The sequence below is a fragment of the Homo sapiens genome, chromosome 6, assembly GCF_000001405.40.
Source record: "Homo sapiens chromosome 6, GRCh38.p14 Primary Assembly".
Lineage (NCBI taxonomy): Eukaryota > Metazoa > Chordata > Mammalia > Primates > Hominidae > Homo > Homo sapiens.
The window spans coordinates 45905176-45931312 of record NC_000006.12 but is presented as its reverse complement, the minus strand read 5'-3'; the positions used below and the strand labels follow the sequence as shown (position 1 = coordinate 45931312).

The 26137-nt window shown below is 42.8% G+C and overlaps 1 protein-coding gene across 15 annotated transcripts in view, besides 3 other annotated features; it reads left to right on the top strand.

The window, feature by feature from the left end:
- CLIC5 (chloride intracellular channel 5) overlaps positions 1-26137 on the top strand; it is a 248993-nt gene that overhangs the window by 198507 nt on the left and 24349 nt on the right. For 7 of the 15 annotated variants that reach the window (XR_926258.4, XR_007059275.1, XM_047418898.1 and 4 more), the window contains one exon: positions 16904-17085. Coding sequence is in view for 10 of the 15 variants with exons in the window: in XM_047418898.1 (XP_047274854.1) it covers positions 16904-17085 (182 nt within the window). In the remaining 5 variants the exon portion in view is untranslated. Of the gene's footprint in view, positions 1-10623; positions 10663-10948; positions 11188-12244; positions 12379-16765; positions 17086-17500; positions 17536-18573; positions 19691-26137 lie in introns of those variants that run through there. The other 8 variants (XM_011514692.4, XM_047418897.1, NR_045674.1 and 5 more) reach the window with 7 other exon arrangements.
- Positions 3258-3921: an enhancer, noted in NCBI's record as "NANOG-H3K4me1 hESC enhancer chr6:45895129-45895792 (GRCh37/hg19 assembly coordinates)". NCBI's record gives its function as "activates a minimal SCP1, AML or CMV promoter by ChIP-STARR-seq in primed H9 embryonic stem cells {active_cell/tissue: H9 hESC(primed)}" and the evidence as "EXISTENCE:reporter gene assay evidence [ECO:0000049][PMID:30033119]".
- Positions 3922-4586: an enhancer, noted in NCBI's record as "H3K4me1 hESC enhancer chr6:45894464-45895128 (GRCh37/hg19 assembly coordinates)". NCBI's record gives its function as "activates a minimal SCP1, AML or CMV promoter by ChIP-STARR-seq in primed H9 embryonic stem cells {active_cell/tissue: H9 hESC(primed)}" and the evidence as "EXISTENCE:reporter gene assay evidence [ECO:0000049][PMID:30033119]".
- Positions 6858-7007: an enhancer, noted in NCBI's record as "active region_24647". NCBI's record gives its function as "activates an Ori minimal core promoter by ATAC-STARR-seq in GM12878 lymphoblastoid cells {active_cell/tissue: GM12878}" and the evidence as "EXISTENCE:reporter gene assay evidence [ECO:0000049][PMID:35858748]".

Here is a 26137-nt window from a genome sequence, read left to right as displayed (position 1 = left end):
CTCTTGCCTGGAAACAGGTAGCTCTTCCTCATAAGTCAGGGCTTGGCAAACTTTCTCTATATAGGGTCAGATAGTAAATAGTTTAGGCTTTGCAAGCTACATAGCCTCTACCAGACTCTGCTCAATTCTGCTGCAGGAATCATAAAGCAGCCACAGATAATATGTAAACAAATAAATAGGGCTGTGTTCCAATAAAACATCATTCGTGGACACTGAAATTTGAATTTCACATCATTCTCACTTCATGAAATATTATTCTTCTTTTGACTTTTTTCCAACCATGCAAAAATGTAAAACACAAAACAATACTTAGCTTGAGGGCAGCATGAAAGTAGGCAGTGAACTGGATTTAGTCCTTGGACTGTAATTTGCTGACCTCAATCTTAGGCAGTCCGTGGCTACAATAGCAAGTTCTGTTAATTTCAGTATGCCTCAGCCTCCTCAACGGTAATATGGAGATTGTAATAGCACCCTCTCTTGAAGATTTGTCATGTTAATTAGATGAATTAATGCATATAAATCACTTAGGACAGTTCCTGGCACACAGTAGGCACCAATATGTGATAGCTATTGCTGCTGCTGTTGCTGCTGCTGCTATTAATTTCACAGTGCTCCCCCCGCCTCCATACCTAGTGTCCACCCTTTGGACTGGGCAGCCCAGCTTTCCCTGTAATGAGGAAGCATGTGCTGCCCTCTTCTGGCAGGCAGAGGAATCGTCGCCAGAGCCAGCTGATGTGATTTATTCAAGGCCTGTGGATTCGAAAGGGTCTTCCTATACAAAGATTCAGTTTTATCTAAGCCAAAGCTTAGACGGTTCAAACAAGGCTAGGTCTTCTTCAAGGCTCAAAGCCACCTTCCATTATCTGTCCCCCACACCAAGGGAAGGGCATGTCCACCAGGCCTGACGGATCTACCATAGGAGGTCCCTGGCTGCCCCTCCCAATGACAACTACCCCCAAATGCTTCTTTCTCCCTTTCCTCTTCTCCTTCTACAATCTCGAGTCTTTACATTTACGAACTTCCTTGACCTAAAATAAAAAAGTGCTTGAAAGGATTCAGAGCGGCCTGGGAGGGCTGTTAGCCTAGAACTAACAAGCCCCTTATTATCAAAGGCCCTGTGCTTTCCCCCAGGCGTCATGAAAGCCACTGCTGCTGGGGGGTAGGTGGGGAGGAGGGTGAGGGACAGTGAAGTGGGGCATTTTTTCCAGATTCCCAGGATGTGGTGAGCCACGTTTAAAAAAGAGTGTGTATATTTATTATTCCAAGCCACTTCAATCATAAGGCGCTTCATGCCTTCTCCCCTTCCTCCCTCCCAGCCCCCAGCCCCCGTGTCACAGTGGCCCTGTCTGGAGGGCCTGGCCATCCAGGGGATGGATGCGGCACCCCCCTTCTCATTCTGCCTTGTGCTCTGCCACAGGCCTGATGAGAAAGCTAAGGCCGTGTGTAAAAAGCAGCAGGAATGTGAAACCTAATTACCCTGTAGCATGCTCAGAAACAGAGTCACTTAGGTGGCCGTGGGGCTCCATGTCTACTCTGTTGGAAGCAGTTCTTTTGGAGGACAGTTGGGTCCCAGGAAGACCGCTGCAGAGGCCTGGGAGCCCCACGGTGGGCTGTTATCAGGCCATCTTGGTGAAGGCTCCTGGGTGGTCAGGCCGACCTCCACAGCAATGCGGATAACATGTGACCGTCTCACCACTTCCTCATAAAGCAGCCATTGCTGTCTCCTTTCAAAAACGCCTCTGGTCACAAAGGGACCCTTCAGGCTGCCTTCCTTGGCAACCCCTGTGTGCAAATAGCCAACTAGGGGTATTTTGTTTGTTGGTTTGTTGGGTTAAAGTTTTGCTTTGACTAGCATTCTTGTAAGGAAAAACAAATAACCTAGGCTCGGTGGGACCCACCTCGGAGGTCTGGTGGGCTCTGCACTTGCATGTCCTCGTCTCCTCCCTCATGGAGGGTCCTTGGGGCTGAGGGCAGGAGGGAGAGGAGTGGGCAAATGCTTCCTCTGGTCCCTCCCATGAGCTGCCTGAGGGATTCCTCCAGAGGGTCTTTGATTTGGTTCATTATTGAGGTGGATGCTTCCAATTTATAATTTAACAAATCTTGCTCCTGAAACGAATCCTTGGGCAGTTGTAAGGAAGGCGGTTGGTGGTGGCGTGGCCTGTTGAATGGGGCAGGCATGGGGAGAAGGGGGTGGGGAGAGCTGGGCCCTGCGTGGGTGGGCGCATTCATTAGTGGAATTTTGCTGTGTGGGCTCCTGGACTGGAGTAGAGCGGAGACCACCAACACCATTCCATGTGGTGGAATTTCCCGCTGTCTGACCAGAATGAGTTCTCCTGGCCTGGCCTGGATGCAGATCAAGACCTGGGGAATAAAGGAACGTTAAATAACTGATTTGCACATGAGTTAAATGTTCTTTCACCTCTTCCTACCGTTACCTCATCCTATGCAACCAACACCTCTTGTCTTTGTGCAGTCTACACATAGGAACCAAATACGTTTCTCAATCTCTCTCTCTCTACACACACACACACACACACACACACACTTATGCACTTCGTGTGTGTTCTGATGTTCTTATGTACTGGCAAAGGCCATCACATACCTCCTTAGACAGGCTCATTTCAATTAATCTAAAAGAAAGTGCTTACATGCAAAATTATATTCATGATGGGACACAATATATTCATGATGGGACACAATATCCCACTAAGCACAGGATATGCAGACCACAGAAGTACAATAGTGTGTCCATGGGTGTGTGTGTCTACATTTCATTGTGTGTGTGTAGGTTGAAAGTATCACAGTTGGTTTATACAATTACTACATTCATAACCCCTTGTCTGTGGTTAGGACGTAGCTTTGAGGAAACTTTTTCCAAGTTTCTGCTGACCTTTAGGGGAGAATATCTCTGGATAAGTTAACCTGTAGAACAGATTCCCTCATTTTTGGTAGAGCTGGGGCTGAAAATGACAAGATGTGAAATCCAGGTGGTGCACTGAACCTTCTAGCAAAAGCTTCAGCATTTCTCAGCTTTTAAACATCTTTTGCTACCAACTAGTGTTGCAAAGACATAAGAACTAAAACCAGGGATTAAATCTAGTCTGGTATTCTGACTTTATCAGCAGTTTAGAGAGGGTAATTTGTTGGGAAAAAGTTGCTACATGGAACTTTGGCTTTAAAACCCCAGGCTTTCTTTCAAATCCTGCTCCAGCGCCGTCTTGCAGGAAGGCACTCCACCCCATCTCAAGCTTGTTTCCAGGCTGAGCCGGAGTAGCCTCATGAGTTAAGACAGGCACAGACTTAAGGCTTAAGCATAAAGCAGCACTTCTTTTCATTCCTCTTGTTAGCCAGACCATTTTCTACCTTGCGAATACATTTGAATCCCGTGGGGGTTTTAGAGGAAGAATAACCCCCATAGGTTCTTAGTTGGAAGGGACCCCTGTAACAAAAGACAGATTAACAAGAGAAAAACAAGCAGAAGTTTATTAACATGTATATTTTCTATAATGAGGAGTTCTCAAAGAGATGGCTTTGAATTCTAGTTTCACAGCATCCTCATCAAAGGACAGTAAACTTTTAGAGATGTGACAAGGGAAAAAACACTTTGAGTCTCTAGGGGCAGCAACTTCGGGGGATAGCAAATGAATGGCAGATAAAGGCCAGTTAGCAAAGCTTGTTCAATGTAGATTCCTGCAGGGCCATCTCCAGGAGCATAAGCGTCTTAAGTTGTTTTCAGTGGTTCTCCCTGGTAGAAGGGGGGAGGCAAGATACGTTTTGTCTTTGTAAATCTACGTCCTGCTTTTAGACAAATAGAGGGAGGGCAGAGAGCTTTACTGCCTCTGTTTCTTCTGAATTGTCTTCATCTCAACAATCCTTCCTATTTTGGGGGTGGCATATCCTGGTTTCCCACAGGGTCTTGTTACGAAGCAGATATTGAGGTAGTGGATCTGGGGCAAGGCCTGAGAGCTCCCAGGCGATTCGGACACTGTTGGTCCAGGGCTGTGCTGTGAGAAACAGGGTTCTGAGCAGCTGTCTCTGTGAGGAAGCATGCTGGGTGTGCCTCCTTCATCATTGTCACCCCAGACCCCAGCTCAGCATCTGACCCAGGGCAGATGGTCCATCAATATTTGTTAAATGAGAGAAAAAAAAGTATACAAACACTTCAACACACCTCTACCTTGTCTATGCCTTTGCTTGGGAGATGATGACGGGGCCTCATCAGAGCCACGGGCACGTCCTCCAGCCACTTCCTGTCCCCGCTGTGGAACCTCACCTTTTAAATCTGTCCCCATGTTGCAGACTCCCCTATGCTCTGACTGTATTTATTTAAAACTTCCCAGTCCCCATTTAAATCCTATGATGTTCTGTGACTAGCATTGTCTTTGACGTGAGAACATACAATGCTTTTGTAGCCTCTGTTATATGATATCAAGCTTCATGGTGAATAATCTCACTTAGAACCAATCAATAAAAGAATGCAAGAACCTGAGCAGCTCTCCTCACTAGGATGGCCAGTGTGCTGGCGGGCTTCGCTGAAGTGGGATTTTTCTTTTCACCATTATTTTTATAACCACATTCAAGGGAAATTCTATTTGGTGTTAAAAGTGATACTTCACCAAGAGTCAAAAGAGAAAACACAGAAGGCTAAATTCTAGACTTTTTTCAGCTAGCAGCCAGAGGTCAAATTATTTTTCTAAGACCCCTGGTGGACAAAGCATTTAATGATCTGGATCAAGGTAAATAAAATACGTTTCTCTGGCCGGGCGCGGTGGCTCATGCCTATAATCCCAGCACTTTGGGAAGCCGAGGGGGGCGGATCACAAGGTCAGGAGTTCAAGACCAGCCTGGCCAATATGGTGAAACCCCATCTCTACTAAAAATACAAAAAAAAAAAAAATTTAGCCGGGTGTGGTGGCGGGTGCCTGTAGTCCCAGCTACTCGGGAGGCTGAGGCAGGAGAATGCCATGAACCCAGGAGGTGGAGCTTGCAGTGAGCCGAGATCACACCACTGCACTCCAGCCTGGGTGACAGAGCGAGACTCCATTTCAAAAAAAATAAAAAAAATAAAATATATATATATATATGTATATGTATGTATATATGTGTGTGTGTGTGTGTATGTGTGTGTGTGTATATATGTTTCTCTGTGCTAGTGTCTAGAACCTCTTCCCTTCCAGAACATTCTGGGGAGGGGAGGGTTGAGCCACGTGATTTCTCAGACCTCCTGCACTCAGCTCTAACTCTGATGGTCTCATGCCCACTGATGTTTGCAATGATAGTTATCCATGTTCTGTTTCCATTGTGGGGACCCTAAGATGAGTTTTACTCAACATTTTGCCCAGGTCTGAAACTGCCTCAGTCCTACCTGAGTCGTTTGGCAGAGAGGTTGATGCTAACCTATGCTTCTCTCTTGGCTCTGATAACAAAGTGGCTGGGACTCTGTGGGAGGGTATCTCAGGCCAAACTAATTGAATCCCTTCATCTATCCTCAAAAGACCAAGGGCTACTATTATACAAAGAAAGGGAACTGTTGTTCCTCTACAGAGTTAAAGCTTATTACATAAGTATATAAATAGAGTCACATGATTTTAGGGTCCTTCATCTTTCCTCAAACCCCACTGAACGGCTTATTCTTTCAACAAATACTTATTCAGTACCATACGCTGTGCAAGGTGCTAGAATAAAAGTGAAATAATGAGGCTGAGCGCGACGGCTCATGCCTGTAATCTCAGCACTTTGGGAGGCCAGGGCAGGCGGATCACGAGGTCAGGAGTTCAAGACCAGCCTGGCCAATATGGTGAAACCCAGTCTCTACTAAAAATACAAAAATTAGCCAGGCGTGGTGGCACGCGCCTGTAGTCCCAGCTACTTGGGAGGCTGAGGCAGAAGAATTGCTTGAGCCAGGGAGATGGAGTTTGCAGTGAGCTGAGATCGCACCATTGCATTCCAGCCTGGGTGACAGAGCGAGACTCTATCTCAAAAAAAAAAAAAAAAAGCGGAATAATGACATGTTGGCATGTTGGCAATACCTATGTATATTGGCAAATGTTGTGTTTGGCTGTTTGTAATAGAAGCCTGACTACAGTGGCTAAAGCAAACATGTATTTTATTAGCAAAACCTATATAGCATTTTACTATGAACCATGCCCTGTTCTAAGCACTCTTGATAAATGTTTACTTCTTAAGAGGAATTTGCTTTTCTCACATGACAAGAAGTCCAGAGAGTAGAGAGTTCCAGGCAAATGTAGTTGCTGAAAGAAGTCGAGAATTGAGCTGCTGCTTAGAGCTCCTAATTCTCCATCTTTCGTGTGTGACTTTCATTCTTGTTTCACAGGATGGTTGCTCCACCCCCAAACATCACATCCGCATTCCAGACAATGCCAGCCGCATCTATCTTATCTTTCCCAGAAGCCCATTGATTAATTTCTACCGATATCTCTTTAGCCAGAACTTGGTTATTTGGCCTTCTGTAGCTGAAATTCTGGGAATCTAGGAAGATGAGTATTTTTGATAGGGCACATTGCTACCCTGAAAATATATATATATATGGGCTCTGTCTTCTACTAGTAACAAATAAAAGGAGACTGAATTCTTGTATATTCAATTCTTATATATTCACTTTCAAGTTAAGGTGATATTTTTTCTCTCTCTGGTGAAAATACCTGTCCTAGCCATTGCCAAAAAGGACACACTATTTTAAATTCTCCTTTGGTGCTGGAAAAATCTGAGTCATTTACCCCCTACTAGATTTCAGGAAACAGAAGTATAAAATTGCACATTTAATTTGCTACACACTTCAAACTTTAGGAGATGCAAGACTCATGTAGTAAAAGCTGTGCAACTCAAACATCCAATGGGTAGCTTCTCCCCACAAACTGTAATTTTTGCTGGGGCACATTAGGGTATCCAGGGAACTGCTCTGAGCAAGGGGGAGGGAGGTCCAGGTGTACTTGTAGCATATCTGGGGAATTCTGTGTAAGTATCAGTCACCCCCAACCTTTAAGGTTGCCCCATTTCACATCTGTTATGATGAAGGCTTTCGGCTGGGGGACTGTGGTTCTGGCTGTAGAGTCAGAATGAAAGGAACAGCTGAATATCCCTGTTCATGTCAGCATTTCAGGGCAGAGGATGAGTCAAGCACGATGTTTACTGAGCAGAGCCAGAGGCAAGAGCCACTTTTTTCTTGCAGCTCTAAGAATTTTTTGTTGCTTTTTTTGTATGCTTTGTTTCTCATACATCAGCATCATCATGCGTTGCACATACACATTGTACATAACAACTGCTTACAGCATGCCGGGCACTGTACTAAGCCCTCTGCAGGTGATGACTCAATTATTGCTCCCAGCAACCCTCTAAGGTATGCCATGTTATGATCTCCACTTTGCAGAGAAGGAAACAAGCACCGGTTAAGCAACCTGCCCAAGCTAGTATGTGTCAGGGTCAGGACCCCAGCCCAGGCAGCTGGTCCCATGATCTGTGCTCTTGACTTGCGTATATTAACATTTAATATAATCCACTATTTAATATGTATGTAGTGCTGAATTAAACAAGAGTGTGTCATTTAGGAAATGGTGATCAAATCAGTTCACGATCCGATGAATACTCAATGAATGACTACCATGTGTATTTCCTTAAATATACTCAACACTTCCCACCTTCCCCATCAGGGTCCTCACCCAGCAATCCATGTGGGGAAAGGGGCACAAAGTTGGCCCACAGTGGGCACCGAATAGATGCCTGTTTAACAAATAAAAGAATGGGCAACTGGAAGAGAATTTGTAGGATATTCACAGAATCACCAAATCCAGTAATTATTTCAGTCTAGCATTGCAGTGGCACAGAGGCAGTTTTTAAGTTTGTGAATGGCTCTTATGTAAAAGATGTGGCTATTTGAGGATGAAACAAGACAAAATGTGGTGAATGTACTTCAGCCTAAGTGTTTTGGGGGAGGGAGAATTGAGAAAAATCTCTAGGTCTAAACGCTGGAACGGATGACTGATAAAGTTAGAATCTCTCTTAACCAGCTCATTCTAAGTGTGTGAGCATCCGCATTAAACCTAATCTATGGCCTGATACTTAAAAATAACCTGTTATAAAGTAACCATAAAAAAACTCACAGATTTCAGCCTGATTCATTTGGCCACATAAACTACAATCAGCATTAATAGCTTCCGTCAGCATTTATGCCGTACTTTCTATTAGCACGATGGGTTCTACAATCATTTATGAGTTTCTGGAAAGTCTAATAGAAAACACACGTACATGTTCTCTGTGGAAAATACACAATAGGTTTTTGGGGAGTTTTTTGTTTGTTTGTTTGTTTGCTCAGGGATAAGCCAGAAGGTGTCGCCACTGCCCCATGGCTAAAGTCTGGGCCGGGTTCCCTAACCAGAACTTCTCCCCTGATCACTCCTGAGCTCGCTAGCTCTGCAGCTTCCTCCCACATTCAGTCAGTCTCTCTCTCTCTCTCTCTCTCTATCTCTCTCTCTTTCTCTCTCTCTCTCTTCCTCCCTTCTCCTGTTGATAAATAAACATTCAGGCAGCTTACATGCTACAGATGAGTACACAAAAGGAAACTTAATTCGAAGACCTAAGTGATAATCTTTCTCTTCAAATCTACTGTGGCTTTTAAGAGGTTTAGAAAATTATTTGGATCTGGAGTCCCTACCTCCCTTCATACTTTAAGAAAATATTATACTAAAGGCATGCTAAAGTTGTCCTAAATGTTTACCATGCTGGTGTTTTAAACATAGCCAAATACTGGCCAAAGTCTCTTGCCTTTAAAAAAAATATGCATTTTGTTGTTGTACTAATACTTCTGAACATACGCCAAATATAAGGGTGATTTGTGGAGCTGTATTAAATAAAAAGATGCTTCTTTATAAGAATCCCCTATAGAGCTTGGGGAAGCAGCTATGTGGAGAATCTGTGTCTTCCTTAAGAAAGTTTCTGAATTCCTTGGAAATACATCAGAAAACACCCCATTCTCCCCACCACAGAGGAGGGTGGGCAACCAACAGTGTCCTATATCCCAACCCACCATAATTGTAAGACTTAAACGCTATCTTTCAAATAAAGAATCATTTACTGGCTTCTTACTGGAAAGAACTATAGGAGCTTGTCATTTAATTCATCCTCCCCTCTGAGGCTGAAATTCTTTCTAGAACAAACAAATAATACCCATGGCACCACGTGCTGCACACTCTCTGTAGCCCAGCTGACGCCACACGAGGGAACAGTGGGGAATCTGTTGAAGTTGCCATTGCATTTTGCTTTCTCATAAACCGCTGTTTGTCTTTCTGCCTTTCCTGTTTTTAGCAGTGCCTAGAAACGGAGGCCTGGGAATTGCCTCCCCCATGTGAGCCCCTGGGTTGTTCACACCCAGGGCCAATTTGACAACATCCTCCTCTCTGGCTATGAGGCCAAGTCCAGTGTTCTTGGTTCAGTGCCAAAGGTGGACATGAACTCTCTAAACTGTCAAACTAAGAAAATGTGACACACCCATGTGGCCTGGAGAGAGCAAAGCCAAACCCAAAGAGATGCTTCCAGGCAACTTTAGATCCCTAACATGTTAGGAAAGTCAAGAGCAAGCTTCATCCTGCAAGCTCTCCAGGATTCTCCTTGGACCTGGAACATGCTAGGATGTTCAGATAAACTTCACTTCAGACACTGAATTTCTGCCTTGAGCTATCTCTTCTCTCATCTTTCTCTCGGTGTCTTCTTCCCCTTCATCCTCTCATAAACCCAAGTTCTATAGCTGTAATAATAATAATAGCAGTTAACTTTAATCAAGTCTCACTCTGCACCAGACACTAGATGATGTGAACCTGTGAACAAGCATAACTGAGGATTCAAACCCAAATCTCTTATGGCAGAGTGAATGTGCTGCTCTGCTACTGTGTTTGTTATCAGAAGCCATGGCTCCCCGACATACTCGACCCAGATTCTCTGTTTCTTCCTTGATGAAACCAGTGACATGCAAACATAGCCAGAGGGCCCAGGCACAGCAGAGAGCGTCCCATCAGACCTGATAGAAAGTCCCCTTCCCATCTTCTAAAACCTTGCTGCCATTTCTGACTTCATGTGGTCTAAGAATCTGGTGTAGACATTATTTAAAAGACAAAGGGACCTGAAAATCAGCCCCCCCTTACCTGCCATGAGTCCTAGAAAGGTCACTGCGGATGAGAAAACCCCAGTTTCCACCTGCTTTATAATTTTGCCTTTGTGTGGTCATTCATACTCATATAACCTAACTGTAACTGGGCTACTGTTCTCTTTCTTTAAGGACTTTGGCAACTGAGAAAAAAGCTACATGACTCATTTCTAAAACCTGAAAGATGAATGCAGATCTTTATGTAAAGTTTTCTGGTGGGGGAGGGGATTGGTTACACTGCCCATCACAGAGCTGAACATCCTCAAAATCCCCTTAGAATATCTTTGCCTCTCCTCAAAATTGAGCTCGTTATAGCAGCATCTACATTTCTGCCTGCTTGGCCTGCACCTGCCCTTTTCCTCACCCTCCCAATCCTCCTGGGCCCTGCTGGGGCTCCTACATCCCGCTTGCTCCTGGATCTTTGGCCTAGTCCATCTGATCTCTCTCAGTGTCTCTTCCTCTTGTCCTAGCTGCCTGTGGAAAGAAAGGCTTCTTCTTCCAACAGATGAGTAAGTGGTGATATTCTTCTTATTATTATTTTTTGTTTCCATCACGTTACCATTCACGTTTTAAACTATCAAATGTCAACAAGTGTGGCCATCTTTGTATTTTCTCTTCAAAAATATGTGATGGCCAGAGACATCTCCGTCTGCCATGGTCTTTCTCAAACCACCACTGTACTTTTTTTGCACCCTTTGGTTATATCAACATGATCTCAAATGAGAAGATGAAAAGTAAAAACTTCATTCAGTGCTCCAGGTATTTCTCAATATCTAGATATTTCTTTCCTCCTAGGAAAAATCCAAATGGATTTCTCACTTTTTGACCAGATGTTTCATTGTCACACAGCCCGTGTGACAGCACTGGCCCCTAGTACAGGCAGAGTTGAAAAGTGATGTGATGGGTCATGGTTGCCCCTCTACTCAGAGAAAACTCCTTCTTGACCTCATCACGGTCGCTGAAAGTACTAAGAATTATATCTGAAATCAAGCACTGGTAGCAGAACACAAATATGTTACCAAATTAGTTGGAAGGTAAGGCATGGGGGAGTCATGAGGGGAACCCCATCCTCTTTTGTCAGGGGAATGAGAACATTTTGCAGCACCTGTCAGGCCACGTGAATACCCAAGGAGTGATGGGACAGTCCTTGCACCCAGAAGTGGCCTTGCAGAGTAGAAGGAGTTTATGTTTTAGAATCTAATAGCCCTGCGCTTAAATCCTGGGCTTTGCACCTAAATTATAATAGAGCTAATCGATTGAACATTTTTTTCTCTCTGTCACTCTGAGTACGTGATTCTAATCTGCCCTAGGCATTCATTGACCTCAGAGAGATTAGGATTTCTGTAAAAGGAACTCTAAGACAGAAAAAAGAATTCAATATTCAGCTTTTGATCTTCAAAATAGCATTTTCAACAAGACAGTAGACTTTTACCCAACCTATTGTCTAAGATGTTCTAAACTCTTTTATTTCTCAATTTTTACCCATCAAAAACCCTGCCTGGAGGCCTCGACTCACAGAGTAGAAACAGTTGTACTGGCTATGCAGCAAGGCCGCGAGGCTTTCTGCTCAATGATTGGTGGGCCATTTGACCTGGGAAAACTAAAAGAAAAGCCCACCCTTCCTAGCACAGGGGAGTTGGGGATGAAGAAGAAAGGAGAGGTGGTGGGGGGGAGGGTCAGGGAACTAGAGCATGTTAAGAGCTCCGTGTGGTGCTTTGCTTGGGTATCCTTCCAGATTGTGGAGGGAGGCAAGCAGCCCACCTGTAACCCCCACCCAGCATCCCCATGGTTACTCTGGAAGGAAGCAAACAGAAGAAATGCAGAACCTGTATTCGCTTTCCAAAGCCTTCCACCCATAGATTCCAGAAACCCCATCTCCCCAGTGCTGTGAGGTCACAGGGGCCTAGTCCCCAATTCCCAGTGCCACTGACTCAGGAAGGAGAGCAAGGAGGGGCAGGTTCTCTGGGAAACTGAGCATATCAATGCAAAGAGACAGAATTCTCTAGGGGGACTATTTAGATGATTACATCAGACTAGGTTATAATCCAAAATGGACGAAATTAAAGTTGTTGTTGTTTTTCCACCACCCAGAGGTTAGGAGCTTGTAAGGAAGACCATAGCAGTTGAAAACAAAGCAAGGCACATTTCCATTGTACGTCCCAGGAGTAGTTTGAATGGTTTAAGGACCAGCTATGTGTGTGCTTGCATAAGCGTATGTGCCCTGGGTAAGTCTAAGACTCAGTTTCTTCATCTGTTGAATGACGATGAATAATATTTTCCATCTCAATAGCCTCATTGTGTGTTTAAATGGTAGTTGCATAAACATCCCTAGCTCACTGCGGGAATTCAGTGAGTGTATTTCCTTGCTGGTGCTAAGGTATGGGACTAGGGCAATAAAAGGAACAAGATAGGGCAGAGGGTACTCGGCCCAGGCCAGTGCCCAATAACCACAACCTCCTTCTCCATGGAGAGTTGAACAGACACCCATCCAATCTACAGACAACGGTCACAGGTGGGTTCCTGGTTTTTATTTTGCTGCAACACACATACAAGAGAAAAACCATATATGAGAAGTTGAGCGTGCAGCCACCTGGGCCCACAGAGCTGTTCTCATTCTTTCAAAGACCACCTTTGATATCTGCTCCTCTCCATGTGAATTTTGAGCCCCAGGAGTCTGCTTTGCCTTATGCTCATCAGGACCTGTGCTGCACTGAGTTTGCCAGCAAACCAGGGCTGAGCTGTTCTTGCAAGAACTTGTTGGAGGCTGGGTTAGAGTCTTGGCTCCCCAGTCCCCATTCAGCCTCCATGCCCTGGTAAGAATATATTATTTTCTTAGCTCAAATTGCTGTTTCCAAGTCATTATTTCTCTACGACGAGAAAACAATATTGGGTCTTATGTAATATCAACCTCAATGAATCTGGAAGTGATCATGGAATGGGTGGATTTTTTTTCCTCCTTAAAAAAGAGAAAAATAAATCTAAGATTGTTTGCATATGGCTCAGAATATTTATGAACTATTCCCCTTGTTTCCTCATCACATATTTTACCCAGTGCATTTGTGTGTGGTACAGAATAAATCTGTATGGGGAGCAGAGGCGGAGAGGGGAAGAAAGCAGTTAAAACACTGGGTATCTATCAAGTCCCTGGGATGTTAGTGATCCTGCGTCTTGGGTGCCCCAACCCTAGGCTCACTTGCTGTAGTTGGAGGGATACCCCCATCTAACTACTCAGAGTAATTATGTGGAGTGAGGATATCAAATATTTACGAGGAATTAAACACAAAGAATTAACATCTTTTTGTTGCTCTAGTTTCTTTCACATCCCCCTTGTTCCTACCAGAGCAGAAAGTTCAAATAGTTTCATGACCTGTGTACCATCAGTCAAAAGAGATCATTAAATTCTATGGATGGCAGATTGAGCCAGGGTCAGAGGAATGAGTTGGCAGGTGGGAGGAAAAGAATTGGCAGAGCGTATAGTGGGTACTGCCATTTGCTATCCGATAATATGGTAGTGTTTCAGCACACAGGCATGTTGTGTCTATTTTGCTATGGGTGTGCCTTTCAACACAGCTTATCACCAAGGAGCATCCCAAGGGAGTATAAGGAACAGGGCTTTGGCTGTATACTAAATAAGTAAGGGAAGCAAATCTCCAGGCTATTGATTTTCCTCTCCAGGGAGTTGGCCACAAATTTGGAGCTTCTTAAAATCACCCATTCTCCACTGCACCTTGGGATATTCAGGAATATATTGACCAAGAGTATGGGGCAAGGAACAGAGAACAGGAGGACCCCACGTTTGGTAAGGCAATAGCAACAACTACCATTAATTGATGTCCTCGTATTGGCCAGGCACTGTATTAGGTGCTTTCCCTGCATTATCTGAGTTAACCCCAGCAGTGGTCTTAACAGGGTGAAGGATCCTTAGTCCCGTTATTGAGATGAGAAAGCAGAAACTCAGTGAAGTAGAGGAACTTGTCCAAGGTCACATGTAAGTGCCAGGATCAACGACATTTGTGGGATTTATGAAGCCTTAAGGCAATACAATAAGTACCAATACAGAATTCTTGAAATCAGATCCAAGCGCTTGGAAGGGACCCAGGAAAGCAAGACACCTTGAAGCTTAAGGCTCAGCAGCTTCCCAGTGAATTCACCCTGGGCGGCCTTGAGATTTAAACACAGTTTAGTCCCAGGCCTTGCAGTCCTTTCCCTGTTGCCTTGTCTCCTCTTCCTCTACCACGGCTGTTACCAACTGCAGCCCTCACATTCCTGGTCAAAAATACACAAACCCAAGTGAGGAGACTGATACACAGAGGGTGCCTTCCAGAATGTGCTGACTTGGAAAGCTCCATGGAATGTCACAGTTGCAACATGAATCAACAATGATTCCTGTCACCAGACTTGATGCCTTCCATCTCGAGGAATTACCGGAGGGATATAAAGAACTATCTTCCCAAGGAACTTCAATCACTGCTCTAGGCTTTTCACCAAATTTCATGATATTTCCCAGACCTGGTGACATGGGCACAGACTTGTGCAACAGCCCACTCAGGTCTCCAGGGCCATTTGAGATTAGAACCTGCAATGTCTCATCTCCTATCGTATGACTCTTTCCCTCAGATGATATTAGTTGGTCAAATTTTGACAGGCCCAGTATTTGATTCTTCCTTTCTTCATTATAATCAAGATTTTGCTGTAATCTCCAGGAATGAAAGGGGTAGAGGGATTGAGCAAGCAAACAAATAAATCACAAGTGCTTCAGGGAGAAAAGCATAATAAGCATTGTTTAGTACCCACCCTCTGCCATTGCCTTTGAATAGCCTTGCAATCCCATCACAGTCTAGACAATTATTAAGGAATATACTGCATTTTCCCAGCCCTGCTTACTCTGTTCTCCCAAACTGGAAACACAAAGCAGATGATGAAGTAGTTCAAATGCCACACCAGGGAGAAGAAAGTATTGAGAAACTATGCCCAACCTCCAGGCAGTTTTCAAACATTCCAGTAAGTGTTCAATTGATTTATCTTGGGCTGGTGTCTTTCCATTGTCTCAAACAAAAGGCCTTCTATGAAAAGACAAAAAGTGGGTTATGAGAGGAGTGGCTAACAAGGCACACTTGGGAAAATCTGAACAAGAGTACAGCCCTCTTGGCTTTGCCTCCAGAAGGCAGTGTCCGCCTTGTATCTACTGGAATGAACAGCAGGATCGACTTCCATTATCTCAGTGTCAGGCTCTAAACCAGAGTCTGGGGATGGGGCTGATGACACAGGTGCAGTGACTGATGCCCTGGTCAGCCATCTCCTCCATGTTTGTCCTTTGAGCTCAAGTAGAAAGTTTCTATGGTAGTGTTCTCTGATTAGAAAGGACTACGAGATTCTGGGCAAAACGATTTTCAGTGATGATGGCTTCCCACAGTTGTTCTTTTGGGTATTTTGTCTGCTTTTGTGTCTAAATAAATTATGTGACAGATAATTATTTGACCAAGACTGTAAAAGCCTTCTCCCATGTTATGTTCCTTTGGGTGTTCATTCCTTGAGTCATAATCATGACAGCTTTCTGTGCAGCTGGGGGTTGCACATTTGTGGTGGAGCCCTTCCATTTGAGACAGCAGTGATTTTTAGAACAAGCTTCCCTAGAGTAACCCAAGTGTTCTTCCCTGGTACCCATCACTTCTCTGGGGGTGACATCAAAAAGGGCTGTTCTATTCCCCCTGTCAAGTCCCCCTGAAGGCCTTGTCCCCAACTCTTCTTGGGTTGGGTTAGCTATAGTTAATACTTCCACAATATCTGATGCATATCTTTGTCTTGGAACTTCTATATAGTTTATATTTACCCATTTAATAGCCTTTTCTTCCTAAAAATGTAATATGTAGGTTGATGTGGAATATTAGCAAATTATAGATAACCAAAACTTTTTAAAAAAATGGCTAGTATTGGCCAGGCATGGTGGCTCTCACCTGTAATCCCAGCACTTTGGGAGGCCAAGGCGGGCCGATCATGAGGTCAGGAGATCGAGACCATATTGGCCAATATGGTGAAACTCCGTCTCTACTAAAAATACAAAAATTAGCTGGGTGTGGTGGCTTGTGCCTGTAATCCCAGCTACTCGAGAGGCTGAGGCAGGAAAATCGTTTGAACCAGGGAGTCGGAGGTTGCAGTGAGCCCAGATCACGCCACTGCACTCCAGCTTAGTGACAGAGTGAGACTCTGTCTCAAAAATAAATAAACAAACAAATAAATAAATAAATTGGCTAGTATTATTTCACTTACTGCAACCTCTGCCTCCTGGGTTCAAGCGATTCTCTTGCCTCAGCCTCCCGAGTAGCTGGGACTACAGGCGCGTGCCACCATGCCCAGCTAATTTTTGTAGTTTTAGTAGAGACGGAGTTTCACCATATTGGCTAGGGTGGTTTCGATCTCTTAACGTCATGATCTGCCCGCCTCGGCCTCCCAAAGTGCTGGGGTTACAGGTGTGAGCCACCACACCCAGACTGTGTTTCTATATTTATGTATTTTTTTCAAAGCAAAAGATTAGCTAGTGTTTATTGTTTGGTTAGAGTTTGCCTTTTCAGCCTATTTAGTACACTTCTACTGCATTGTGTTAATGGTTTCCAGGTATTCTGCAGTGTGTGGGGAGCTGGCAGTGTGATGAAGGGGACAGGATTCTAGATGAGCTACTCCACTCTGAAGACCCTATGACTGTATCCACTGGCAAGAAGTTTGAATAAAGGCCCTTTTACTCTTTCATGCCAGCTCTTGAAAGAGGCCTAACCAAGGCTCTAAAGAAATTGGATGACTACCTGAACACCCCTCTACCAGAGGAGATTGACGCCAACACTTGTGGGGAAGACAAGGGGTCCCGGCGCAAGTTCCTGGATGGGGATGAGCTGACCCTGGCTGACTGCAATCTGTTGCCCAAGCTCCATGTGGTCAAGGTAAGAGAGCTCTACCCACAGGGGCCTGCAAGATCCAGCTCCATCTTAGGCCCAGGTCACCTGTGTGGATGAGTCAAGGACAGTACCACCTGTTGGTCAAGAACCTGGACCCTGAAGTCAGGTAATAAGGACCCAAGGTCACCCTCTGCTGCTTGTTGGCTGTGTGGCCTCCTTGAGCTTCAGTTTTCATTTATAAAATAGGCATATATTGCTTACTTCAAGTGTTGGTGGAAGAGTAAATACAGCGTGAAAGTGCTTGGCATATTGTGGGGGCTTAATATGTGTAATAGTCGCAATTATCGTTGTTGTATACAGTCATATCACTCCAAAGGCCTCTTCCTCATAGGATTTCCCTGGCTACACCCCTACAGCTCTATTAAATGTGCCCTCATATGCATTTTTTCTTTGTGCACAGACCCACCTTCTCACTTCCTCCAGCAACTTCCTAAGGTGAGCCCACATTATTTTCCTCATCTATCAAATGAAGAGGTGGAGGTTGCAAGAAGTGATGTCACTTTCTTGCTATCATTGCACTTACTAACCATTTGCAGCATGTAGTGTCATCCTCTCCTATATAACAAACCCTGGGAATCTGAGAGTTGGAAAGGACATTTAGAGGTCATCCAAAACAATCTCCCACTTCAACCTGGACCACTTTCTGCTGTTTCTGTGACAGGCTTCTGTGAAGCTGTGACTGCAGCCTCTGAGAACGAGGAGCCCTCTGCTTAATGAGCCAGCCCTACCATGTTAGATAGCTCTGATTATTAAATCATTGTTCTTTACAATGAGCCCAAGCATGCCTCCCTGCTATCCATTTTTTCTCTAGAGTAACAGAGAACAGCTTTGCTTGCCTTCACCTCATTTGAAGACAGTAGTTGTATCCCCCTAAGCTCTGTCAATGAGCACTTCTTCCCCCATTCTTTCCTGACCCTCGTCAGCCTAGTATCAGATAGCCATACTGTGCTCTATTTTACGCATGCTTATATCTTACTGTCTCAGCCAGACAGCAAACTCTGTGAGGAAAGGAACTTTTTAAAGTGTGATGGTGGGCACACAGTGGCCATTCAATAAATACTCATTGATTGATCATTTGATCACCTGGTGTAAGTCTTTACGATATCCAGTTTATTTCTATGCTTCACTGAGAAGACTCAGATTCAATCATCTGTCAGCTGAGTATATGCCTATTATTTTTCAGCTCAAGTCCCGAGTCAAAAATGCTATCTCCTCTCCAACCAGAGCATGTACCAGCTTGAGCTGAAGTCACTCAGTTGTGTGTACACTGGTGTTTCCGTATGCCTTAGAGCTGAAGACTGAGAGGGAATCATGCATAAAAATGGAGTGGGCAAATACAACCTATTTAGAAAAGAACATTTTGGATTTGGGGCCAAGCCAATAGTCACTTGTAGGTCCAGCCAATCTATGTCTCTTTGAAGTTATTAACTACTGCATGCCCCACCCATCATCCTTTATTCTTCTTCTCCTTAGGAACAAGTACCACTGAAAGGGATGATATAATTCCAGCTCAGTCACACTGTGTCAGAGTGATACAATGCAAAGATCAGGAGACCCGAGTTCCGGTCCTGTATTTGCTGCCAACTAGCAGCATGAGCTGAGGCACATCATTTAATCTTTTTGGAATTCATTTTTCTCATGCCTAGAAGAACAGAAGTGGATTGTATTCCTTCTTGCCTTCTTTTCCTTTCTTCTTTCCCTCCTTCTTTCCTTTTCTCTTGCTCAAACATGTATTCACTACCACTCAAAAACCATTTGTTGAACAAAGCAAACAAATGAATCTCCCAAGCCTTGGGCTTCATCCTGTGATTTCCTCAATTCCCACCTGCCTTAAATTACTCAGTGAAGCCCTGTCCTTGGAGAAAATTCAGTGGGTGGTTAACCCAGAGAAGCTGGAGATCAAAAAGAAGATGGCCAATGAAAGAACAAAGGCCAGCCCTTGGCCCCTATCTCTTTGGATTTCTGCTGATCCAGCTTATCAGATCCCAGAAACCTGGCAAACCTCTAAAGTTCACAAAGAGCGAAGGGGAAGCCAAGTCAGGCCTCCAGTTTGGCTTCGGATGCCAAAACTTAATCTGGGCTGTGGGAGCTAACTGTTTTCATATGAAAGAGCAAATTCAGAACATGAGCATGGAAGTCCCTGCGAACGTCAGATCTCCGTGTGCATCCTTACCCCCTTGCTGCTTTCATGCTCACTCTCCTCTTGCGTGGCTCGCTTTCAGGTTTATCTCCATCCCTGGAAGCAGAGTTGCTCTGGCCCAGGCTCTCCATGAGAGTTTGGCTTGAACATTCATTGTCTGGCCCCCTCCTAGTTCTCATCTCCCAAAGTCAAGCCAATGTGTGAAGAAATGACCAGCTCAGCAGCCAAGGCCCAGGGTGCACAGGTCTTCGTTGGGAGAGGCATCTGCAGGCCTTTCCTTGCTCACTGGGATCCTTGCCTAGCATAGTGACGATGTTCAGCCCTGGAGACAAACAAGAAGGGGAACACCAACATCAATAGAAGTATATATTTACAAATTGCATTTCTGCTGTATTGAAACTAACATTCTGCCCTTTAAAATCCTGAAAATAAAATTTCAGTATGAAATGACTTGAGGCTACTCTATGAATCAGTGTGTCACTGTGAAAAATACTTTTGGATCCCTTTATCTTATTGGAGACCCTTTTCATCCACTCTGATAAATTCCAGCCAGTTCTCTTGGTCAGGCCACCACTCCTGCATGAATTTGCTCTTAGCCAAGACAGCCTCTTCTCAAAGGAACTTGGCCCAACCCAAGGGATCATCATCTTTCAGTGAACAGAAAGGGACTGGGGAGATATCGTGGTGGCATCTCTCATTGTGAGAGCTTTATCAAAGGACTCGGACTTCATCACCCTTGCTTGTAGTTACCTAAGCCAGACAGAACAGTGTGGGGGTGGCTTCTTTGGTGCCCACACCAAACCAGTTATTTTAACAGAGAGAATTTAAGGAAGTACTATGTAGTAAAGAACTGGAAAGGCAAAATATACTAGGAGGTTCTACCTTCAAGAGGCAGCTACTACTCCTAGGGCAGGAGGAACAAAGGGAAGAGGTTGGAATTATTAAAACTTACAAACTTAGGGGCTCTGTAGATGAGGGACCCTGCAGAGCTGAATGTCGGTGAAAGTGATGCTCAGCTGGTGCCAGGGTCCAAGCTCAGGTTGGCTGGGATCCAGCCTCTAAAGCAGAGTTCCTGCTATGTGCTGGCCTCTCTGCGTGGGTATGATGAAGTGGTCCTGTGAGTATTGACAAAATAGCAAACTGGATTCAGCTGCTGCTCCCAGAAATAAATGGAGACTCTGACAGAAAGAGGAAGCTGAAAAGCATGGGCTTCTCCCTCCCTTCTCCTCCTCCAACCTTGCTGGCTCTCTCCAGTAACTCCTCTTGGCAGAACCTAACAGGATTCACTGGCAAAGAAGAGATGTGATCTGCTCAGTCCTAGCCCCAGCATCACAAAAAATAGTAAATAGAAGAGTAGGTTTGGAGACAAGCAACAGTAAATTAATGGCTGGAACATGAGGGATTCTGAGTAGACCGACCCATTGCTTTATCAGCTATGTAGGGCTGAGTAGTAAAGTAGAAAGAACTGTGGATTATAAAGCAAGGACTGTAATAAATATTAATGGTAACTCAATAGATATTGGTTAAATTAATTAATTTATCATGTAACATTAAGTCACATAATCTCTTGTAGCTTCAGTTTGCTCATTGCTAGGGATCTTCAGTCTTTAAAATTATTTTATTACACTTGACACTAGAGAACCTTGTCTGATGTACAGATAAGATTGTAAACTTTGAATCCCAACCTATTTAATCTCCCTTTGTCTTGCTTTTCTCATCTGTAAATGGGAATATAATAGATTCTTCCTTATAGGATTATTTAGAGATTTAAGTACCTTGCAAAGTACTTAAAGCAGTCCCTGGAACAGAGCACACAGTGAATAAATGTTTGTTATTATCATTCCTCTGATCAACATCATTATTGAGATTATCAAGGAGTACAGAAGTGAAGAACCTGTGATTGCTATCCTTACACTGCCCACAAGTTAGAAAAAAAAAGGGTACTGAAACAGTAATCATGATTCAGAATAGATTATAGCTCAGTGTTATAACAGAAGTTCAACACTGGCCTAGGAGCATAGAGGGGAAAAAATGTTCCCAGATGTCTGTGAACATGTCTGCAACAGTGAGTTTTTCATCCATCAAGTCATCATCATCCTTCACTTCAGCATAACTTTCTGGGAAACTCTGCATATTACCAGCACCAAAATGGAGACAAAAGCCCAGAGTGACTGATCTGGGGCTTCTCTGAATGGGAGGATCCCAGGGTCAATGGTCTAGGGCCCTCTCTGAAAATGAAAGCAAGGTAGAAGGTGGATATACAGATACAAGAAATCCAGAGAACACCTGTGAGATACCATACAAAATGAACTTCACCAAGGTATATAGTCACCAAACTGTCCAAGGTCAATGCCAAAGAAAAAAGTCTTAAAGGCAGCTAGAGAAAAAGGTCAGAACACATACAAATGGAACCCCATCAGGCTAACAGCAGACTTCTCAGCAGAAATATTGCAAGCCAGAAGAGATTGAGGGCCTATTTTCAGCATTCTTAAAGAAAGAAATTCCAACCAAGAGCTTCATATCCCACCAAACTAAGCTTTGTAAACAAAGGAGAAATAAAATCTTTTCCAGACAAGCAAGTGCTAAGGGAATTTATTACCATTAGACCATACTTACAAGAGATCCTTAAGGGACTCTAAACATGGAAACAAAAGAATGATACCTGCTACCACAAAAACACACTTGTAAATAGCCAACAGACCCTATAAAGCAAGCACACAATAGAAACTACAAAGTAACCAGCTAACAGCTTCACGAAAAGATCAAAACCTCACATATCAATATTAACCTTGAATGTAAATGATCTAAGTGCCCCACTTGAAAGACATAGAGTGGCAATTTGGATAAAAAATAAGAGCCACTCATCTGCTGTCTTCAAGAGACCCCTCTCATATGTAACAACACCCATAGGCTCAAAGTAAAGGGCTGAAGAAAGATCTATTACACAAATGGAACATAAAAAAGAGCAGGGGTCACTATTCTCATATCAGGTAAAACATACCACAAACCAACAATAGTGAAAAAAAAAAAAAGAACAAAGAAGGGCATTACATAATAGTAAAGGGGTGACTACAACAAGAAGACTTAACCATTCTAAATATATACACACCCAACACTGGAGCACCCAGGTTCACAAAACAAGTACTTCTAGACCTATGAAAAGACTTAGCAACAACACACAATAATAATGGGGGACTTCAACAACTCACTAACAACGTTAGACAGATCTTCGAGGCAGAAAACTAACAAAGATATTCTGGACTCAAATTCAACACTTGACAATTGGACATAACAGACATCTACTGAATACTCCACCCATTGACCATAGAATATACATTCCTTTCATCTGCACACAGAACATACTCCAAGATCAACCACATGCTCAGTCATAAAGCAAATCTCAATAAATTAAAAAAAATAGAAATTATATCAATCATACTCTTGGACCACAGTGGAACAAAAATAGAAATCAACACCAAGAAGATGTCTCAAAATCACACAATTACATGAAATTAAACAACTCACTCCTGAATTACTTTTGGGTAAACAACAAAATTACGGCAAAAGTAAAAACATTCTTTGAAATAAATGAAAACAAAGACACAACATACCAAAATCTCTAGGATGTAGCAAAAGCAATATTACAAGGAAAGTTTATAGCACGAAATGCCTACCTCAAAAAGTTAGAAAGATCTCAAATTGACAAAGTAACATCACACCTAGAGGAACTAGAAAAACAGGAACAAACTAACCTCAAAGCTAGTATAGTAAAAGAAATAACTAAAATCAGAGCAGAACTGAATGAAATTGAGACCCAAAAATTCATACAAAGAATCAATGAAACCAAAAGTTGGTTTTTTGAAAGGATAAAGAAGATCCATAAACCATTAGCTAGATTAACAACAACAACAACAAAAAAGAAAATCCAAATAAGCACAATCAGAAATGACAAAGAAGACATTACAATTGAGCTCACAGAAATACAGAAGATCCTTAAAGACTATTATGAACATCCCTATGCACACAAACTAGAAAATCTAGAGGAAATGGATAAATTCCTAGAAATACACTTTTCAATTGCCTTGAAAACTGTAACAAGACAAGGATGCCCACTCACCGCTCCTATTCAACATCATAGTGGAAGTCCAGAGCAATTGGGCAAGAGAAAGAAATAAAAGGCCTACAAGTAGGAAAAGAAGAAGTTAAATTCTCTCTTTACTGATTATGATTCTATTTCTTGAAAACCCTACAGACTTCACCAAAAGGCTCCTGGAACTGATCAACAACTTCAGTAAAGGTTCAGTATACAAAGTCAATATTCCAAGATTGAATTGGGAAGAAATTGAAACCCTGAACATACTAATTGAGTTATGAAATTGAATCAGTAATTTAAAAAAACCTACCAACCAGTAAAAGCCCCAGACTAGGTGGATTCACAGCTGAATTTTACCTGACATAAAAAGAAGAACCAGTACCAATCGTACTTAAACTATTCCAAAATATCAAGGAAGGACTCCTTCCTAACTCATTCTATGAAGCTAGCACCACCCTGATACCAAAACCTGACAAAGACACAATGAAAAAAGAAAACTTCAAGCCAATATCCCTGATGAACATAGACACAAAAAATTCACAACAAAATACTAGCAAACCAAATCCAGCAGCACATCAAATAGTTAATTCACATTGATCAAATAGGCTTCTTCTTAGGATGCATGGTTGGTTCAACATACACAAATCAATAAATGTTATTCGCCACATAAACAGAATTAAAAACAAAAATGAAATGATCATCTCAATAGACACAGAAAACCTTTGGATAAAATTCAACATCCCTTCATGACAAAAACCTTCAATAAATTAGGCATTAAAGGAACACCCCTCAAAATAATAAGAGCCATCTATCTATGACAAATCTGCAGCCAACATCTTACTGAATGGGCAAAAACTGGGATAATTCCCCTTGAAAACTGCAACAAGACAAGGATGCCCACTCTCACCACTCCTATTCAATGTAGTAGTGGAAGTCCTTGCCAGAGCAATCAGGCAAGATAAAGAAATAAAAGGCATACAAATAGGAAAAGAAGAAGTCACATTCTCTCTCTTTACTGGTGATGTGATTCTATTCCTCAAAAACCCTAAAGACTTCACCAGAAGGCTTCTGGAACTGATAAACAACTTCAGTAAAGTCTCAGTATAAAAAGTCAATGTGGCCGGGCACAGTGGCTCATGCCTGTAATCCCAGCACTTTGGGAGGCTGAGGCAGGCGGATCGACTGAGGTCGGGAGTTCGAGACCAGCCTGACCAACATGGAGAAACTCTGTCTCTACTAAAAACACAAAATTAGCTGGGCATGGTGGCGCATGCCTGTAATCCCAGCTACTCAGGAGGTTGAGGCAGGAGAATCGCTTGAATCCAGGAAGCAGAGGTTGCAGTGAGCAGAGATTGCACCATTGCACTCCAGCCTGGGCAACAAGAGCGAAACTCCATCTCAAAAAAAAAAAAAAAGTCAATGTACAAAAATCAGTAGCATTTCTGTATGCTAACAATATTAAAGTTGAGAGCCAAATCAAGAACATACTCCAATTTATAATAGCTGCAAAAATAAAATAAAATAAAATATCTAGGACTACATCTAACCAGGGAGTTAAAATCTCTACAAGGGGAGCTATAAAACACTACTTAAGGAAATTGCAGCTGACACAAACAAATGGAAAAACATTCCATGCTCATAAATTGGAAGAAATAATATTGATAAAATGGCCATACTGTCCAAAGCAATATGCAGATTCAATGCCATTCCTATCAATCTACCAATGTCATTTTTCACATAACTAGAAAAAACTATTCTAAAAATTCGTGTGGAACCAAAAATGAGCCGGAATAGCCAAAGCCACCCTACGCAAAAAGAACAAAGCTGGAGGTGTCACATTACCTGACTTCAAACTGCACTATAAGGCTACAGTAACCAAAACAACATGGTACTTGTACAAAAACAGACACATAGATGAATGGAACAGAAAAGAGAACCCAGAAATAAAGCCACACACCTACGGTCATCTGATCTTCCACAAAATTGACAAAAATAAGCAATGGGGAAATGACTTCCTATTCAATAAATGGTTTTGGAATAGCTGACTATCCCTATGCAGAAGAATGAAATTGGACCCCTACCTTTCATCATATACAAAAAGTAACTCAATATGGATTAAAGATTTACCTCAACTTGTAAGAATCTTAGAAGAAAACCAGGAAACATTCTGTACATCAGTTTTGGGAAGTAATTTATGATGAAGTTACAAAAGCAATTGCAACAAAAATAAAAATTGACAAGTGGGACTTAATTATACTAAAGAGCTTCTGCACATAGAAACTATCAACAGAGTGAACAGTTAGCCCACAGAATGGGAGGAAGTATTTGCAAACTATGCATCTGACAAAGGTCTAATATCCAGAATCTATAAGGAACTTAAACAATTGAATAAGAAAAAAACAAATAATACCATTAAAAAGTGGGCAAAAGACATGAACAGACACTTCTCAAAAAAAGACATAATAAGTGGCCAACAAACATTAAAAAAAAAAAAAAAAAGCTCAGTATCACCAGTCACCAGAGAAACGCAAATTAAAAGCACAAGGAGACACCTCCCTCACACCAGTCAGGATGGCTATTGTGAAAAAGTCAAAAAGCAACAGATGTTGGTTAGTCTGTGGAGAAAAGGGAACACTTATACAGTGTTAATGGGAATGTAAATTAGTTCAGTCACTCTGGAGATTTCTCAAAGAACTAAAAGCAGAACTATCATTTGACCAAGCAATCCCATTACTGGTTATATATCCAAAGGAAAATAAACTGTTTTACCAAAAAAATTTCATATGCATTCATATATTTATGAC